Source organism: Homo sapiens, chromosome 4 (assembly GCF_000001405.40).
Source record: "Homo sapiens chromosome 4, GRCh38.p14 Primary Assembly".
NCBI classification, from domain to species: domain Eukaryota; kingdom Metazoa; phylum Chordata; class Mammalia; order Primates; family Hominidae; genus Homo; species Homo sapiens.
This window is the reverse complement of record NC_000004.12, coordinates 80,603,435-80,623,964: the sequence shown is the minus strand read 5'-3', so window position 1 is coordinate 80,623,964 and position 20,530 is coordinate 80,603,435. Positions and strand designations below refer to the sequence as shown.

Sequence of the window (20,530 nt, the reverse complement as noted above, 5' to 3'; positions counted from 1 at the left end):
CTGGCATGGCACTGGGTTGCTGCCTGAAGCCTGGCGTACACTGAGAACTGCCTGCCACAAGGGATGTCTAGAGCTACCAGAAATCAAGTCTTCCACACAAGCCTGAGACGTGGGGCTGTGTGGTCCTGTCTTGCACTAGGATGATTCTAGAGACTCTGTCTGCAGATTCTAATCTAGAGTATGGGGCTGTGGGGGTCTGCCTTATGCTGGGTTACACTGTGTTGGTGTCAGTATTGGGGTCCAAGGCAAATTATATGCTCACTTTCTTCTCTTTTCCCTGAGGAAATGGTGTCTCTAGATGCATTGTGTTGCCCGGGTTTGGTGGAGGAATGACAGGGGTAATGCAAAACTGTCCTTTCCAGCTTATCAATATCTCTTTTCTTAGCATTGTGCTACAGCCAGATACTGTGAAAGCTTTATCTTGTTTCCTTAGCTCTTGCAAGAATATTTTTGTGTATGGATAGTTGTCAAAATCAATATTCCTGTGGGGTGATGACTGCCAAAGAGTTCTACTTTGCCATCGTGTTCCACCCATCTCTTCGTTTGGTTCTATACATGTCTAATTATTTTTGTTTCATTTCTGCCTTTTTGTTTCATAATTTTTGTTTGTTGCCATGAGTATTAATATTAGACTATTCCCTAATATTAATTTTATCTTGGACATATTCTTGTGCATTTTGCCTGGTATAGTTGTCTTTCTTAACATCGATTAGTTTACTTACATACTTTAGAATCTTGATTTGCAAACTCATTTGAGTGAAAGGAATACCCCTTTCCCCTCCTTTCTCTCTCCTGCCAATATTAGCCTTCCTTATTTCTTGTTGAGTTGTTTCTACTTACCCTACTAATAAATTGAGTGTAGAACAGAAGCATAAAATATTCCCTTCCTGATGAGATCGGTCAGTCACTAACCCAGTGGGCAACTTAGAAACTAACTTAATTTCCACTTTTTTAAAAAAAGTGACATGTTGATCCTCTCACTTACTTTGGTCTACAGTGTCCTACAAAGCCATAGCCCCAAGCTCATAGTTACAAATATAATGCTAACCTCCTTTCTTGAGAGAAAATTGATTGAGCGAGAGTCATTCTCATCCCAGACATAAAGCAGTAAGCCCATTATCTCTAGTTTCAAGTATTGCATGGAGTTTTTTTAGATGATGTGAGTCAGCAGTTGCTTCCTAGTGGACTGCAGCTGTAGACCCACTCACAACCTGGCATTTCTGGCCTATAAAATATTGATCTTGCTTTTGAGCCCAGATAAATCTTATAGGTTTTCTTAATTTTTTAATCTTTCACTGATATTATTTGATGTAGACATGGTACTTTAAATATAAACCCATTTTGCTATCTGAGTGAGAAATGCAAAGTTATTATTAGAAACATATTGACAATAAAAAATTATAAAGGCCAGTCAAGTTATTATATTATGAAACAAGATGGTTTTAGAAAAGATGCCTATAGAAATAGGCAAATCAACAAAATGAAGAAAACAATATTTCACCAGAATGTACTGAGTTTTGAAACAGAATGCTAATCAATATTCTGTGGATCTAACTCAGCTGGGGATGACCCAGTCCAGATAGTAGTGTTATAGTGCTGTTAAAATCACTCTGTGTTGATTTAACCAATAAAATAAAATGTCTCTGCATTGGTCAGATCAACTCTAGACTGTTGCATTTATGTTCAGTGCAATCGCCCTTCACTTCATTCATCTCACATCCTCTTACCTGGACTATTGCAAGCTCTCCCAATTAGTCTCCTATTATGTTTTTCCTCTCTCATGATCAGAAAAATTATTATTCAAAAATAAAATAATGGCTTATTTTTGCATTAAAGAGTCCAATATTTCCCTGTGCTTATAGGACAGAGCCTGACTTCCTATGTTTGGGATTGACAGTCTGTATGATCTGACCCCAACTATAATCTCAACTTGTTTAACTGACACTTAAGTGCCTTCTCTGTCAGCCAAAACTTTCCCAACACAATGCATCACTCTATCACTACTGGTTTTTCTTCTAACTGGCTCCTCTACCCACAATAGTTTGTTTTCTCCTCCATATGCTCCCCTTAGCAGTCCTCACCCCACCATCCCACAAATTCTTATTTCTTTTAAGACCTGGAAAATTCTTACTGCTTTTAAGACCCAGGACAAATATCTTTCTTTCTGAATGCCACAGCATTTGACTCACAGCTCATTTGAAGCATTTAATCATGCTGTAATAATTACTTGTTGAAGCATTTACTATATCATATTACTTTTATAATTATTTTTATAAACAAATAATTAATATAACTATAAGACCTTCTAGAGTCTTTGTCTCATTTATCCCAGGATTTTCAATATCTGGAATAGTGCTTGGCATACAGAAATACTCACTCCATATTTGTGATAATCCAGCTTCAAATCCAGTACAATATCCCTCTTCCAAACTAGCTGTAAGAATTCATTTATTAAATCAACAAATGATATTGTGTCAGAAGAGTGTGCAAAGAATGGGATGAGAGATTAGAAACTGTCATATGAAAAAGAGTGAAAAATAACAAAATATTTATTTTAGGTATGAAAATATTTGAGGGAGACAATAACTTTGTCTGTAACTATTGGTAGAGAGTTTTACTTGGTTTATCCAAAAACAATTTCTTTAAATCTGATACTTAATCATTCATAAACTATCCTAATAGAACTACTTGACATGTTCAGCAGTCCAAGCCTACCCATTGGGAAAAGGAAAGAAGTTATCTTCAGGTGCCAACATTCAAATCATCTTAAAGTTGAATGTAGCCCCTTGCCTATAACTGAATCCCCCCAAAATTCTATTTTTTGTTATATACTAAATATTTAAGGCAATAGTTAAAGGAAGGAAGCATTCTACTGAAAATATCCACTGGGAATCTATTAATGATAGGGTGTCAGTGCTTTAATAAAGGTTACTTGGTTAATGATAAAAAAAAAGATAGGCTGTTAGGTAAGTGCGGAACTTGGAAGTAGCAACCACAGAAATAACAGCTTCAATTGTTTTGATAATCACTGTCTGTGAGACACTCTATATACTTATGTTATTTAGTTTTCATCATAAACCAACTTCAAAAGGCACACATTATTTCTCTCATTGTATACAACAGTCTTATAGAGGTTAAATTGCCAAAAATGTCATGGCCAGACAGAGATGCCAGAATTTGAACCCAGATCTGCTTTACTCAAAAGCCAGTGTTCTGTTGACTTTCTGTAGGGAACAAATTTAAGCAGACAAAAGAGGCAGGAGAGATAGTCAGTAATGTAAAGTTGATTGAAGATGGCTTCAAAGAACTAATTAAATCAAGGGATGAGAATGATGAAAAGAATACAGAGACTGATCTGGATTTATCAGTATGGCATCAGGAATCAAGCCATCATCCTAAAGCAACTGAAACATAGTTTAAGTTCACCCAATTGTAAAGCAAACAGAAAATCCAAAATATAAATATAAGATGTGTTAAATTCTTTTCAAAACTGTTATATGAACATGTCTGCTATCCCTAAAAGTAGAGCAACAACTTCTTCATCACTATGCCATGTCTGGCAACTCCATGGTCATTCCCTTGTCAGCAAATTGCTCTTTTCATTCTTCTCTGGAGTGATTCACTCACTGATTTGCTACCCATAAAAAGTTATACATGGTATAATGGTATTACTTCTCTTAATATACCAACAAGCAAGGGTAGTGACATACATGCAACCCTGAAACCCTGAAGATTGTTGTGTCTATAAATCCACTGCACAGACTTGACCACTGTGCTCTGCATGCAGGTATTGAATCAAGTGTGTGCTGATGGATGGATTATTTTCACATCACTTTCCATACATTTAACTCATGAAAATATTTAGCATTCAGTCTAAGAACAAGAACAAAGACAAAATAATGCCTTGTGCTTTATATCATATATTTAAAAATTGTTTCCACAATTCTACATCATTTTAGTCTCTCAATGCTTATGATTATTGATGGTATTTTTCATTAATATAACAATATGTTTCTATAGAAATTGGAAAATGATAATTTTGAAGATTATTTCATCATTTTCACAGGGGAAAATAAACAGTCAAAATCCACTGTGACAAATTCTCTCAATCCCAGTTTATCTCATTATAATTAAGAGATAATACATGATCACTTTATTAGACACAATATATTATATGTCTATTAATAAAATATATGTGTGAAAGCATATTTTAAACAGGTAAATGAAATAAGCTGTCACAGCCAGTATAGGTGCCTGGAAATCACAAGAGAGTTGTAACTGCTTAGTAAATACCTAGTCATTGACTGCACTGTGTTTGGAGATGACAGCAAACACTGTATTCTGTATTCAGCCCTTCAACAGTATTGAATATCTAAAGAATATTTAACTATATTCTAGATATATAATATGTAAGCCATCTAGTTAGGTGGCTGAACACAACATATAATAAATTTATGTTTTCTGCTCTTATTGGTTTCTTCTTTCAGTAGTGAAGAGAATAATAAAGGTTGTGGAAATGGGTCACTAAAGTTCTTCAACACTAAGTATATTCAGAAAATTTCATGTGGCACAATCAGAAAGATTAATTATTTAAAAAAGCATAAGAAGGAAATAGAATGTCAACGCTGAAGAGAAGGTCCTTCAGTGCTCTATGACTGCACCTTGGACAGGCCACTGCCACCTTGTGGCATTTTGGTTCAAATAGTTTTGATACATGACATTCCAAATAAATCAGAATAAAGTTTGAATTTAAAAGTGGTAATCTTTCCTGAATGCTTACTTTGGGAGTAAACTGTTTCTAGCTGTGTTTTAATGCTGTGAGAAGTAATTATTTTTATATTTTGTTTGCATTTTCACATGTTCAGACAGAATAATTACCATCTAACAAAATAAAATATTCAACTGCTTAAAATTGTCTCTAATTTCTGAATGACTTCAAAAAGTAATGGAAAGCCAAAGATCCCTTAAGTAATAAATATTACACATACAGGTGTCATACTCCTCTATTTTTTAATGAATAATTTTAGCACGGTTTTCATATGTACTTTAAACAAAGTTTTTATTTTATTTCTATTATTGGAAAGCATTTCTTTTCAGCTCCCACGATTAGTAGTTTATTTTATTTATGATATTATTATATTATACTTACCCTTATTACACTAAGTAAAAATCCACTTGTTATTAGCCAACTTATCCTCAATTGGACTGGGAAGGAATTAATGTAATGTATCTTTTAGTTTAGTAGCAATAAAAGTCATGGAAATAATTGGAGTTCATGTGGCTAATTAGGCTGCAAGATCCTTCAGAGAGAACTCCCCTCTGCCTCAACTACTTTTACATAACTTTTATATGATTTTTACGTATGTTTCCATGTTGTCTTCTAAGAATCCATTGATGTTTACTTCATATTACTTTACCTCTAAATTATTTCTATATATCCCTTCATTTTTTTCCTAATACAGTAGAGATCACCAAAATTTTGGATCTATGACACACTTTTGATTATAAGAATACCTGATAAACTTGAAAGGAGTATATTGCATTATTATCAAAGTACATACTTGGCTGGTTGTCCTTCAGTAGTATTCATTGTTTGAGAAAAACTGTTTACTCTCCTTACTCACATGCTCATGAGAGAAAATTTTTACACATTGTAGATAACAACTTTTTTTCTATAAAACAGTTTGCCTTTATACTGTATCTCTTACCTCTTAATTCTAAGAAGTATGCTTTGCTCTACCTTTAATTTTTTTCTTTGAACACCTGAAAGAGTAAAGTTTATTCCTTCCAGACTTGACTTTCAACCATGACCATGAGATACTTCATATGCTATCAGGGTTTCATTATTACCCCTTCATCCCGATCTTTCCTCTTTGCAACATGCATAGGACAACCTATGCGGTATGCAAATGACCATACATCACAAATTTTTCTTTTATTCCTCCAATTTTGATGGTTAGTTTCTTTTCCTTCTTAATTTAAGTTAATGACTATATATTCCATTCTGAAAGTAAGAAAACATGACCCTACGTATTTTTAATTCCTTTGGGCAGATCTTTAAATTGTAATTACTCAGGTGGGCCAGGAAATGCAGTGAGACAATTTCAAATGGCTCCTTCCTCTGTTAATGTTTTGACCACACAAGAAAAAACATATCAAAATGCTTACCCTCTAGTTTCAATATGCTTTAAGGCACATTGGTTATCCCTTAGTTCTTTCATCTATGCCCTTCCCTATTAAATGGATTCATTTCCATAGTTTTGGTTATCATTATGATGGGCACTTTTATGTAGGAATGCCTTTTAACATTAAGTGGGAATTTATGTCTGCCACCCTTAATGGAAGTAATTTGAAGTAATTTTTTTTCTATTGTGAAGTGTTAATAATAGGATTTGAGAAGAACATTCCCCTCTAGACTACAGACCTCTTGATCCATCTGAAATGATCCTAGGGAAGTGGACAAGGTTGTACCATGAACCAGACTGATCATTTGGTGAGTTCATAGCAAGTCATTCATTCTCTTGCTCTGCAAAGAACAAAAAGCTAAGTTGATGGCAGGGTATAGGGGCATCTCACAGTCAGGAAGCTGGGGCTGGTGGTCAAGCTCAAGGTAAGCCAGGCTCTTTTTCAATTAATGATAACATCTAACACAATTTTGAGCAACTCCAGGTAAATATGACATGTTTCTTAGCAACAACATGGCCACTAAAATAGAAACACTCCCAAATTTTCCCATTCAGAACTAATCTCCTGTTACATCTCCAAGGGCCTATCTAATATTCACAATTTCATTACTTTTTTAAATTACCATTCCTTTAATGATGAACCACCTGTCTTTTCTTCATTTTCTTTTTCTTTTTTCACACTATAAATAGTGGTCTAGTACTCTCATTCATATATCTTTAAAATCCTATTTCCGTAGATAGTTTTAAGAGTTGGAATTGCTGGATCTATAGTTATATTCATTTTAGTTGTATAGAGATAGATAACTTCTCAAAAATGTTATGTTGAGGTATTCTTCCATTAGCAATTCATCTCAGCATCTTTGCTAACATTGTTAATTTATTAAACATTCAATATTTAGAATTCTTAAAATAAATATATTATGTATAAAATGTACATATGTATGTGTACATATGCATGTCTAATTATACCCCTATATAGATGTTCTATTTTCTGCTCATTTCTCATTAGGATTGTGTATACTTGTTCAAGAAAATATTTGCATCTTTTATCTGGCTAGTATGTTGGGACCATCAGTACATCATACAGCTCCGAGAAGTATAATGAGGGTTAATCTAAATATACATGCTTAGGGCCCCCCAGGAAAGCACGTAATGAAGTGAGACGAGCATTGTCTGAGTGTCAGGAGTCCTGGCTGCCCCAACTTAGCTACTAACTTGCATTGGGAACTTGGGAAAGTCACTTTTCCTCACTCAGTTTGTTTTTTTTCATCTGTAAAATAAAGTTGGGACTAGATGATCTCTACAGCCCTTTCAGTTTGGGGGTATTATTTATGTATATATGCATATTTATAATACATAATATATACTTATATGTATAAAAATTACACATATAAAAGTACACGCGTGTATATAAAAGTTTATATGTATATACAAAACTTTATAGTTCTTTTGAAGTCTTTTATATGAAGTATTAGCATACACAGCCAATAAGTTCAGCTTCAAAAATTATCTATTTTGCATATTTTGGAGCAAACAGAAGGCCTGGGATCACAAGGAAGAGTCACATGGGCCTGCTTCCAGTCCTAGGCACCATAGATACACAGGTGAAACTTTACAGTTGAGTTGGGAAGACAGAAGCAAAAACTTACATGGAAACAGCCTGTGATACAATTAAATGTAATATTTGTTAAATTTTTAGGTGAAGTTAATGCTCAGACATCTGAGGTTATATTGACCAGTTGAGAGGAGAGAGTTCTGTTTTCTTAGAGTGAGTTAGTAACTGAGTATTAATATAGGAAAGTAGGGTCAATTACCTATTCCTAAAAGCTGAAGGAATGAACGGAGGTGAGAGTGACTGCCCCTGCAAGGTATAATACTTTGAAGGAGGTATTGAGGGCCAGAAGCCCATTTCACTCTTGGGCCACAATCAATAATGTGGTTACTTTTAATAGAAGTGCCTCAATTTCTCTGAAAGGGCTTGCAGAGGTTGCTGAATGAAATAGGGAAGGATCCTATTTAGAAGTAATTTATAAATTACTTCTTAACTATCTTGCTAAAAGTATCAAGATGTATGCCTAAGCAGGGCATGGTGGTTCACACCTGGGATCCCAGCTACTTGGAAGGCTGAGTAAAGGAGGATCACTTGAACCCAGGAGGAGTTTGAGGCTGCAGTGAGCTATGATCATGCCACTGAACTCCAGCCTGGGTGACAAAGCAAGACCTTGCTTCTGAAAAAAAAAAAGAAAGAAAGATGCCTGCAAGCCTACCTTAGAGTGAATCGATGATGTAAGCTTTCTAATCCAAAGTAGATACACTACAATAAAGTATTAAAATATTTTTAAAGCTTTACTTTGTAAATAAGTATGACTTCCAACAACCCATTTCTTATACATAGACACAAATATTAGAAAAAGTAAATACATTGTTATTTACTTTGCACTTGTACAAGTTAACTTCCATATCACTGTTTACCTAGCCAATGAACAATATTTGACCAGTAGATAGCCGGCGATTTCTAAATTCTGCACTCTGATTGTTTGCAGTTCCCTAAGCTCAAATCAGAGTTCCTAAAGTCTACTAAACTAATTTGCTCAGACTAGTAAATATTAGCAGCTGTAGTTCTCAATATTAGTCAAAAGTTAGTGGCTGCATAGAGGGCCATAAAGAGTTAATGTAATAAAATATAGAAATTTTCAAATAAAATACATCATTAAAATATGAATGAAGTTTTAAGACATGTTACCACTGAGGAAATCCATAATATCACATGGTATTTAACATATAATTAGCTGATAAACATTTAAGTGTATCTGTGAAAAAATGGGAAACCAGGAGCTATAATTAAATATAATAATTTACAATGTTTTGGTGTAAATGCAACCAAAGGTGTCTCTTGTATGTTGACATTAAAATTGTGTTTTTCTCTGCTGTTCAGATACCATTTCAAAACATTTCAACTTCAAACAACATTTAAACAACATGTGTAAGCATTGTTTTTACAAAATGTTTAATAAATGAGATTAATTCATTGAAATTCAAGACTTGTAACCACATTCAGAAAGAGCCATATTGCAAGCAATTGTTAGTACTTAATCTGTCAACTTAAGAAACAAAAGAGGGAAAGGAATGAAAAAGCATTGTCCCAAGTCTTCTAATTTCTCTGTCAACCAAACTACATTAACTTTGCTCCCAACCTTTTAGGAGGCAGGCAGGCCTCTGACTACACCCGCCGCACATGCTGCCCCCGCAGAGTGCCTGCTCTTGGTGCTTTCCCGCCTTGCAAATCAAATCCGAGCCATCTTCTCTAACGACAGTATTTGTGATGCCTATTAGATCAAGAGCTCCTTTTCAATAGAAGTGCCTTAGTTTAAAGTTAGTGCCTCACCACTAGTATGGACTGTTTGTCATCTCCATTAAATATACAGCTATGGGGATCAAGGTCATTATTAGTCACACAAATTCACCTCTTAGGACACTTTCAGGAACATATTTTCTATTTGTTTTGAATCACTCCTTGAAGACTTAAAATATTCTAAGTAGCCGTTAATTTTAATCAAAACTGTTTCCATTAGGATAGAAAAAAATAGCATTATTTCAGTGCAAACTGACAACATTCTGTTGGAGTAAATATCACTTGAAAATAGGTGACTTGTTATGTATACAGAAATGAAAAGGGGAATACAAAACTGGAAGTGTCCTTAACAGACAAAGCAGGTGCTCACAAACTACAGTTCCAAATAACAAAACCCAACTTTATACTAATTGGAAAACAATAATAATACATTAAATAAACTGGAGAAAATGAATCAAACATGTGCCTGCCTGCCTTTCTGTAGCAAAGGTATAAGGAATAGCGAAGAGTTATCAGAGTTATAAACTGAAGAGAGATGTATGTTTTCTCCATCATTTTTGTCTCAGCTAACAGTGTTTTGGTCAAGCATTAGTCTTTGCAAGTACAAATGAATTGTGAAATACAGTCAGTTGTAGAGCAGGACCATCTTAAAGTGCACAGGGAAATGATGTTAAACTGAAAGGCAGTGGGTTTCAAACTTTAATGAGCCTAAGCCTGAATACCAGATGACCTAATTCACTGGTCAGCTTTCTACAAAATCAACATAGGTGATTCTGATGCAAGTGACAGATGGACTGCATTTTGTAGAACACTGCTATGTGGTATGCATGCATAGCAATAAAACATAAAAGTCAGCTGAAATTTTGGTGAAGGAGATAGGTTCAGGGAGGAAAAAGTGTTTCTATTTGTCTTAATTGACATTATGCATGTAACCTAGATCTGAAGAGATAATGAAAGAAATAAAGTAATTTTTGTTTATAATAAATTGAGTTGAATGATTTAAATCTATTTGAATTAACATACGTACTACATCAGTTTTAGAGTTAAATCATTCAGTAAAATAATGTATTAATTATCCTTAGAAAATGAGAGGTTCCACAAAAGATGTGACACCAAAAACTTCAGGTGTCAAAGCTCTGTATATTTTAGCATTTCTATGGACTCTTTCTAAAATGAATTTTCTACTTCCTGCACAAACCAAATATACTAGAAAATATTTAAACTGGTATAGGTGACTTATGACATTTACCACTGAGTTAAGATAAAATATCTTGAGTTAATATCTCAAATCTGCCACTTACTAGCCTTGGGGAAATTGCATAGCTCCCCATGCCTTGCTTACTTATTTGTGAAATAAGTTGCATATCTCATGTAGGATTATGGGGAATCAAATGTGTAAATGCATATGAAAGAGCCTCATAACATGTCCAGCACTTCATCATTACTTTTCCTTTCTGTCCTAGGCTGTTAGTCTTGCAATTCTCACTGCTATACTTGGTTCTTTCAGCTTAATGTTTTTTATCTTTAGAAGGTGACTAAAACAGACAATCAAACTTGTTAAGAACCACGTGCTAAATGAAAGTGAGTGCCCAAGGCCACAATATTAGGGTTTGAACTACTTAATTAATTTAAAACTATGTACCTAATTCAGAGTTCAAAGGCATTCTGAGCTACTTAATTAATTTCAAACTATGTACTTAATTCAGAGTTGAGGGTGTTAAGTTCAATCTCTATTTAAGGTGTGAGTATTATTGAAATAGTTTAAATTAAACCACAGAAAATTATTTAATAAAAGGATAGTTTGGGTAAACAAATAGGGACAATTCACCTTCTCAAATCATTTTATACAGTTACAGAGATTTCACAAAACATAATGTTAAATAATAGTAATTCATTTTCAGCCCTATATATGGATGGGATGTTTCTGCAAATGATGTTAATAGTTGATTAGGCTTGAAATAGATACTACAGATTTTGTCTCAAACTCTAATAATATGTCAGAACCCATTTGATAGAAAAAAACTCTAATGATAAATGTGTAATCATTTCCAGAGAAATTAAATCAGCATTGTGCTTTGAGATAATTTTTTTTAGTTTAGTGACAAATTGAGGCAATCTATCCCTCTCACTGAGTTTTAGGGTCTGTTTTTCAGTTTACTATTTTATTTTTCTCCTGAAGAGGAAGGAGATAAGAAAAGACAGAATGTAAGAAATGGGGTATAAAAATAGAGAAATTATATACTTCCTTTGTGTTCTGGAAAAAATAAAACACGATGGTTTGCTAATAATTGTGGGAGGTTATGTGTTTGTATGGATTCTTTGCAGTATCACTAATCTACAAAAAAAAAATGGCACATACTGTCCCTATAAGGGATAAAATAAAACAAAACAACAAAGCTTTAGAGCATGACCATCATCGACGATTTGTGAATTTCACACAGCATTTATTCATTAATCTGGTTCAGCATTAGAAAATTTACAAAAATATTTGCCCTCATAATCAGGTATATCAAGCCAAATACACTTGTACTTGAAGAATTCTCTGCTTGGGACAGTGTATGGTGTAGGCTGTAATGACACAATTCAGTTATTCTTGAGTCAAGACCTACAATAGTGAGTGACAGGGTTTTCAGGTAACATATTCAGTCTTCCAGCTCCCATTTCATCCTTCAGTTAACAGGGAGTTAAGAGCCGAATCCTCAAAACGTCCAAGAGAACTCAAAAGAGTTTGCTCAGTGGAGTTCAAATATCAGGCTAAAAGCAAATTGCAATTTTGATTTGAACCCTGCTTCCTACAAGTGTCCCAATGCAGGTGTGGTCTGGATTTGATAAAACATTAACTTTGTTCTCTATGTAAATAAAATGGTGGCTACACAGGTGCACCTGCTGTATGGTATTATGGGCAACCACAAAGTTATCAGAGTGTAACTTAGAAAAAATAAACAGAACAAGTGTGCTAAAGGGCACATTTAGATTGCCGTTGTAGATTGTGTATACAGTTAAATCATTCTGTCAAATAAGTTTAATGTAGTTATTGAATATAATGTATAGTTCACATGGAAGCTAATTTGCCCAGCATTCCCACATGTCCCCTGATTTAGTGAATATTTTAAAACTTTGCTCAACAATTACATAACAGGAAGGTATCTAAAAGTGGAGAAAGAAAAAAACATGGTGTTAAAATGTGGAATAAGCTATGCTTCCTTTTAATATCTTTTGTGAAAAGACAGAATGATGGAGAGCACTGAGAACATTTATTACTGACAGGTGTAATTTCACCCCTACTTGAAAGGCCATGACTTTAAAAGGAGATGAAAGCTTCCAGCTGATGAATGAGGGAAGAAAAGTCTGACAGGAATAACATGACTGTCTCAAGGGAATTGAGTCATGTGGTCCTGCGGTTTACCATTTGGCCATGAAGTTACAAAGATTTACAGTGTGCTCTAAAGGGGTTTGGAACCCGTTTATTTGCACTTACTTTTGGAGGGCTGATAGAACAACTTAAAGAAACTTACAGGGTGACCAGCTCATCACCCAACTAATAATAGCACAATGGTTATCAGCCACCCAGAGCAATATAACCATGACTGATGAAACCCTCCTACAACTAAGTTGGAGGGCTGATAACAAGATTTGAGATAGCCATCTGGGTATAAAAGAGCCTTTATTATTATCATTGAATAGAATCGATGGGTTTGCATCTAGAAAGGAACTTTGTAGATTTTATGGTATCAGAAATAATGTCCCAAAGGACTTTTTAGCTTTAGGTCCATTTTGATGAAAACTTTTTTTAAAAAGTTCTTTAAATGGCACTAACTAAACTAATATACATTCTGTACTATTATTTTTAAGGTGCTGAGCTAAGAAACTGAATTTCAGAAAATTAAGGTTGTAAAATAGAGAAGATAAAGTATGAATTACTATAACCTGAGAAAGAATGTGACAGTGACCTAGGAAAGACAGAAGATAGAATGGGAGACAAAAATGAGAAGTGGCTATTTCTCTGTAGGTACTAAATTTGCATACCGTTTTGTTAGATTTTGCTCTTGCTTTCTTAAATGTGAATATTTTTACCACTTCAGTACTAAGTCCAGGTTAGGGGTTGGGGGACACTGGAAGTGCTGCTGGGTTCAGCAATATTCACTCCAGGGAAATCAGTGTGCTGTCTTCTAAGAACAGAGAGCAGACTCTCATTTCTGTCCACACTTCACTAGTGTCATTTTTTTTAGAGCATTTATCAAATTAAAAGGATTATTAAAGTGATCAGAAAGAAGAGACACAAGGAGGAACCAGAATCTCTTCAATTAATAAATTACTTAGAACTACCTTATAAAGCATAAAAATAAAATAAGTAAGCAAATTCTCTGCAAATCTATAGACACTAATAAGCATTATTCAGCCTTTTTAAAAGTCTTTAAAAACATCCTGTGGGTAAAATTATGCCCAGATATAATCTGGATAAGGATAGGCCTATTAAAGTGCATTTGGTTGGTTCAAACATAGTCTAGAATTTTTAGCTTCTTTTCACTCTATCATTTTGAGGGTCATTTATAGACTATTCAAACACAATTATTATTTTCCTGGACAAAATTCATTAGTAGGCACAGGAATATGAGCACAAAAACTTATAGAATATAGCATATAAACATGCAAATATAGACAAACTATGTATTACTAGAGAACTACCAAAACAGTTACACATAAAATAGCAATTTTAAGAAATTCCACAAATGTTAAATAAACAAAAAATAGGAAAAGTGGTACACATTAATTGTGCCATGAAAAAAATCATATGTTCCATTATTACTTTGGCCTTTTATAAATATAAACAAGAAATAAAAAATAACATTAACGTTGATTACTCTGGACTACTTAAAATTATATGATATTAAATAAATATTCTGTTGATAAAAATCCAACATAAAGAGACATATCTAAATAACCTTTACACTTTAATAAATAAACCCTATAAACCAACCTTGAAACATTTCAAAAAATATATCCTTCTTCTACCAAATAGCTTCCTTCTCTCACTGCATAGTTTCCTACCTTGGAAATATTTGTAGGAACAGCATGACATAGTTATCAAGATTCTTTAGCATAACTAAATAATATCACAGAAAGAAGCTCCTAATAACTGGGAATATTATTTTGACTTAACTGGAAGTTTTGCTAGTGTAATTACACACAAGGCAATATTCCTGTTTACAAAGTCACATTATTTAACCCAACATATACTTATTTTTTTAAAGCATTTTACATTTCTGAACACAGGAAAGTACTCAAGTAGCAAATATATGTATACTAAAGCCCTTGGAAACTTTTCCAAAAAATTCATCCATACATTCCTTTATATTGAGTTATAACCTTGACTTAACAGTCTCAAACACTATGTGAATATAAAATACCCAATAAAATAAAGTTAAATGTAGGCAATCTCAAGTTATTTTTAGAATTGTATTTTATCATGAAATGTTTTCATCTAACATTTTCTTTATTCTTCTCCTTTTAATCATCCCCTCTTTCTCTGTGCACATACACACACACACACACACACACACACACATGCATCGTGTAAGCTTTACCCAGTTTTACACAAGAATTCTAACCCATTTCTGACCCTTAACATGATTATTCTGTTTCTAACTCTATTATTACTCATTAAACCTCCTGGCTTCATCCCATTGGTAACATCTGCTTTCTATCAATGCCAAAGACAACAGGTTCTTTAAACAAACTTTCTTTAAAAAATAAGATTTTAAAATATAAGAGTTGTATGGATTTTTTAAGTGAAAACCTAAGTTCCTTCATTAAATCTACAATGCGCTTTTTTTCAAAATGAGAGCCATTTACCCTAAAAAAATTCTGGAAAATATCAACATCTGTACATTGCAATAAAAGCACTACTTGTGACTGTCATTCATCAAGCTGGTGAGTAATTCGGAAAACAGTAGCAATAGCCCTTGGAGTGGAGTATATATGTAGGATGAAGCCAAAATGTTTTTCTAACTTGTAAAGGAAACTTTTCCATAAGCAGTACTTACTGCCAGTTGCTTCTTCAAGATATGAGCAGCATCAGTCTCCTGTTGATTTAGCTTAAACAAATTAAAAGGGGAAATCCAACTGAGGTGTATTCCACATGTTAACAAATCTCCTATCTAAAGTATAGCTTGAACCCCACCCTCTGGTACTGTTGGAATCAGTTATCTATTTCCTAATTACTTAGTCTCGACAACACTTGTGAATGGTAAAAAAAAATTAGATAGCTCATATCTCTAACATGAATATCCCCATATATTATAACTGTACAGATAAGTATGTGTGTATATATACACACACATATATTTGTATATAAAATTGTAAAGTAGTAAAATTGAAAAAGAAACTTTGGCTACGAAATGCTTTCTAAATGTCTCCACTACACTACATTCTAATCTAAAATAAAATTAGGCAAAACTACTTCATGTAACCTTCACATTGTTACAATACATAGGCTCCCAGTTCAATGTAATTTCCAAGTTGGCCCCACTATGAAAGATTCATGACCATAATTACATTTCTATTCCCACAGCATTAAGAAATGGAAAGCAAGTATTTCACCTTTGCAGTGACACATTTCCCAGTTCTCCTTGCACAACTTAAATTATAATACAAGCCCTCGAAACAATCCTTTTTATTCTGAATCATGCCCTTCCAACACACATAGCTTTCAGTCTGCAGCCAGAAGCTGAGCGATCACTGTCGACTTCTTTGACTTTATGGAAAATAACACAATGTTTCTCTGGTTTCTGAAGTAGGAAAATGTTGAATTCTTATATCTTGGTGTTTTCTCTTTTTTTTCTGTCTTACAATTCATTTTTTCCCTAATTCTCTAATGTTTACAGCTCTAACCCCTGGCGTCATCACCTTCTTGCCTCCCTCATTTCCTCCCTTCTCCATTCCTTGTTCTTTTTCTTACTTTCTCTCTCTCATGGTCTCTCTCTGTCTCACTGATGTCTCTTCCACTTTCTCTGTTTCTCCACCCTCTACTTTTTGCTTTTAAGAAAGGCAGAGCATCTCGATATCCTTATGAAGTAGAGAATACATGAACCAACAAGACTCTATAGTACTTATTGTTTCTTGTCTATCTAAGGAGATAGATACCGAGAAAAATTTCAGGTGCGATGAAGAAGTTTAGGGTATCACAGGACCATACAATAAAAATATTATTTAATATTCTATTTGCTATACTCTTCCTGAGAAAGTAATACTCCAGCTGCCCTCTGAAAGACATAAAATGTTCACAATAGAAAATTGGTAAGAAAATTTGATCATAATCTTGACTAGAAGGTCCCTGTCCTCTTTCACTCATGTAAGGAACCACTGTTCCCTAAAAACTAGCCTACCTGACTTTCTTTTCTTCTTCCTTCCTCTCTCCCTTCCTTCCTTCTGCAAACATTACTGAATGCATCAAAGACAAGAAAAGTCAAATGATGATTATATCAAAGTTATTATCCCAATTTAAATGCAAAAGTAGCCTGCTGGAAATTTATCTTACAGGAAATCACTCACAAAAGAAAAATAAAAATCTTAGTTTTTTTATCCGTGAAATTTTTTTTTAAAAAGCATATAATTTAGAGTGTAGATTTAAAAATTATGGCATACCCATACAATGAAATATTATTCAACCTTTAAAAAGACTGAAGCACATTTGTATGAACTTATATCACAAACTAATTCAGGTATGTTGTTATATGAAAAGAGCAAGCCATGGAAGAGCACGTGTAGAGTCTAATACCATTATTTCTAATATGGAAAAGGAGTTATGTGTTTATATCTTTAAGAAACAAATGTACATCTCTTTGTATCTATATACCTATTACTGTAGCTATGGCTACATATCTTTTTTTTAAAAAAACAGATTCTCGCTCTGTTGCCCAGGCTGGAGTGCAATGGCAGGGTCTTGGCACACTGCAACCTCTGCTTCCCAGGTTCAAGCGATTCTCCTGCCTCAGCCCCCCGAGTAGCTGGGATTACAGGCGCCTGCCACCATCCCAGCTAATTTTTTATATTTTTAGTAGAGACGGGGTTTCACCATGTTGGCTAGGCTGGTTTCGAACTCCTGACCTTGTGATCCACCCGCCTTGGCCTCCCAAAGCACTGGGATTACAAGCGTGAGCCACCACGCCCAGCCTAGCTATGGCTATATACCTTTGTACATACTATACTCAGAGTATTTCTGAAAAGACTTATAAGAGACTCTTGGAGAAAGGGACATATGATTGGAGAATGAGGTTTTCACTTTTACAATACATACCACCACTGACTTGTTTGCCCACACCTTTATTAATTTTAAAAATGTATTCATCAGCTACAATAGTTAAGAGCTTCATTGACTCTTCAGACAGCAAGTGATGTGGCCTCTCATAGGAATGCAAAAGAAAGGCAAGCTGGTCCCTATTGCCCTAAGAGGACTTTCATGGTCAGGCAGAAGCTGTCCTACCCCAAAAGCTGTAGGAGACAGATATGCTGCCTCTAAACCAATAGAAAACAATGCAGAATGACTAACTTTTGTTAAAAAACTCAGACTGTTAAAAAAAAAACTTAAGTGTTAATAAAAATAATAGGCAATACTAGGTAAATCTGACTAAAGCATATACAGGTATTCTTTGTATTATTCTTGTATCTTTCCTATAGTTTGAAATTATTTCCCAATAGGAAAATTTAAAGAAAAATAAAGAACAAAAGCTACCATGACAATGTTATTAAATAGGAGACATACAAATATTTTATTCTTATAAAAACAAGTGCATGCCTTCTTTTCATTTTATTTGCAGGTTATTTAGAGCCAGAATGAAATACCACAAGCAAAATCTCATTCTTGAAAACACATTCCTGACATTTGCTTCTATTTCTTTTATTTAAAAGGTGATGTAGTAAAGTCAGTAAGAGCATTTTGTAATGCCATTTCCTCTTGGCTATATAATCTAGTTTTCAGTTTTCCAGTCTGTATTTAAAGTAAAATGTATTAGTGTCTTTTTATGTTTAAGAAAAAGTGATTATTATGAAAACACTTTAGAAAAATCATTTTGGTATTTTCCTTCCCCTCCCATCAGGCCACTTTTTACCTTTGGAAAATAAAGTCATAGATAAGTTCATTAAGCATTTGGCTGAAAACTAAATGTTGTTCAAAAGAAAATTTATCTGCACCAGAAGTATTTCTTCAATGAAAATCATCTACCTCTCACTCTCTAAAATATGAATAAATTATTTCAGCATGACTGCAAGTAGAATTACAAATAACCATTTCTCTTTTGAGGTATGCATTTTATATGACTCAGGCATGAAAAATGTAGCTTTGAAAATTTTTCTCTGTAACTGAACTTACCTTGTGAGCCCCCATTTTCACTGGTAGCAAAACATATCATCTTGCCAATGTAAAATAAACTGTTACTTTTTTTCCAGCTCAAACTCAAAAACTCTGAGGAAAATATTTGGGCAGTTCAGAATTCTCCTCTCCCTTATCCTTTCCTAGGATTACATGTTTTTTTTTTTTCTGGTATTATATTGTCCTCTGGGGACAAGTGTCTGATACAAAGTCATTAATATCTATCCATCCTGCGTTTCTGATGTGACGTGCAATTCATACTCTTGTAAAATTTATACTTCGTTTTTTGATTGTTGTCCCTGCATTCACCTTGAAATGTAAGCATCTCACTTTGCTTTCCAGTTGCCAGTTCTATCCAGTTCATTGTGTCCTCGAAGTAATAAACTGTAAACCTTTTCATGTTTGCCTAAATGAACTTGACTTTAAGGGTCTGCTGTCAGGCCACCTGCCGAGGCACCTCATGTATTCACTGCCAATATCCAGGCACCATTCTGGACACAAAGCATTTCACTGGGGCTTGCAATCCAGGTAACACTTTGAAAGCTAGGTGAAGATACCTCTTGAGTTTCAATTGTCAGCTTGTGTCAAGACATCAATTCTGTCAAGACATCAAGATGTACCTAGAGAGCGGAGCACTGGACTGATGCCCAGGGACCCACCAGTGCCTAACTTTTAGTCACATACACTTCCAATTATCTTACTGACAGCTAGCCAAACTTTTTTTTTATCATTAGGCAGAAAAAAAAGTGCATCAGCTTGCATTTTCTCTTACTTTATTATTTTCTATATATGCCCTGAGTCCCTTAGGCATTTAGCTTTTGACAATCAAAAGATATTTCCTCTCCCCGAAATCCAGCTTTTGAAATGTGAGTTCTTTTAAGACAGTGTTTCTGTTATAAGGCTTTAAAGTTTTCTTTTGATTTGGGTCCTCCCTTCCCTAGGCCAAGCTCCTGAATGAATGAAGTCTCCTAAAGGTAAGGATAATGGTTTCAACAAGTAAAAATTCTGGGTTTAAAATCTCTTAATTTCAGTCTAATATGTAATTTTATATTCAAGTATTTTTTAAGTGAACACTTTGTCTTTGCTACCACATGAGGTAACATGTTGTATTAATTTATTTTAAAGAGCGAGAATGCAGAAAAACAAATAAGGGCCCATTATTCTACCACTCAGAAATAATTCTAGAGATTGTTTTTCCTGCTTTCCTAAATGGAGATACCAAGAGAGATAGAGTTTTTTATTCTTGAATTACTTGTTGACAATATGTTAAAGCCATTATGTATTTTCAACCTTATTAATATTTGTACAGTATTCTATCATATAGATGAATAATGCATTACTTCAGCAATTGATTGCTGTTGGAATTGAGGTCACTATCAATTTTTTCTAAATTAAAAAACAATGTGCTGAACAAATATTTTCATACATAAGTCCTTAAACACATTCATAAATATTTCCTTTGAAACAACTTTTATAAGTGGCTAAAGGATATACATATTATTCTACCTATTGTCACATATTGCTAAAATGCTCCTGCTAATAGTACAATGTGATCATGGGATCATCTCTGACTCTCAGCACTCAGCGATAGCTATTATAATGTACACATATGTTTGTGCGTGTGTG

The 20,530-nt window shown here is 34.1% G+C and overlaps 1 protein-coding gene across 8 annotated transcripts in view; it reads right to left on the bottom strand.

Annotated features, from left to right (window-relative positions):
- CFAP299 (cilia and flagella associated protein 299) overlaps positions 1-20,530 on the bottom strand; it is a 642,486-nt gene that overhangs the window by 339,786 nt on the left and 282,170 nt on the right. For 5 of the 8 annotated variants that reach the window (XM_017007976.2, XM_047449975.1, NM_001206997.2 and 2 more), the window contains one exon: positions 15,582-15,632. The exons of the other annotated variants lie outside the window; for them this stretch is intronic. In XM_017007976.2, coding sequence (XP_016863465.1) covers positions 15,582-15,632 — 51 coding nt within the window. The remainder of the gene's footprint in view (positions 1-15,581; positions 15,633-20,530) is intronic. 8 annotated transcript variants of the gene reach the window in all.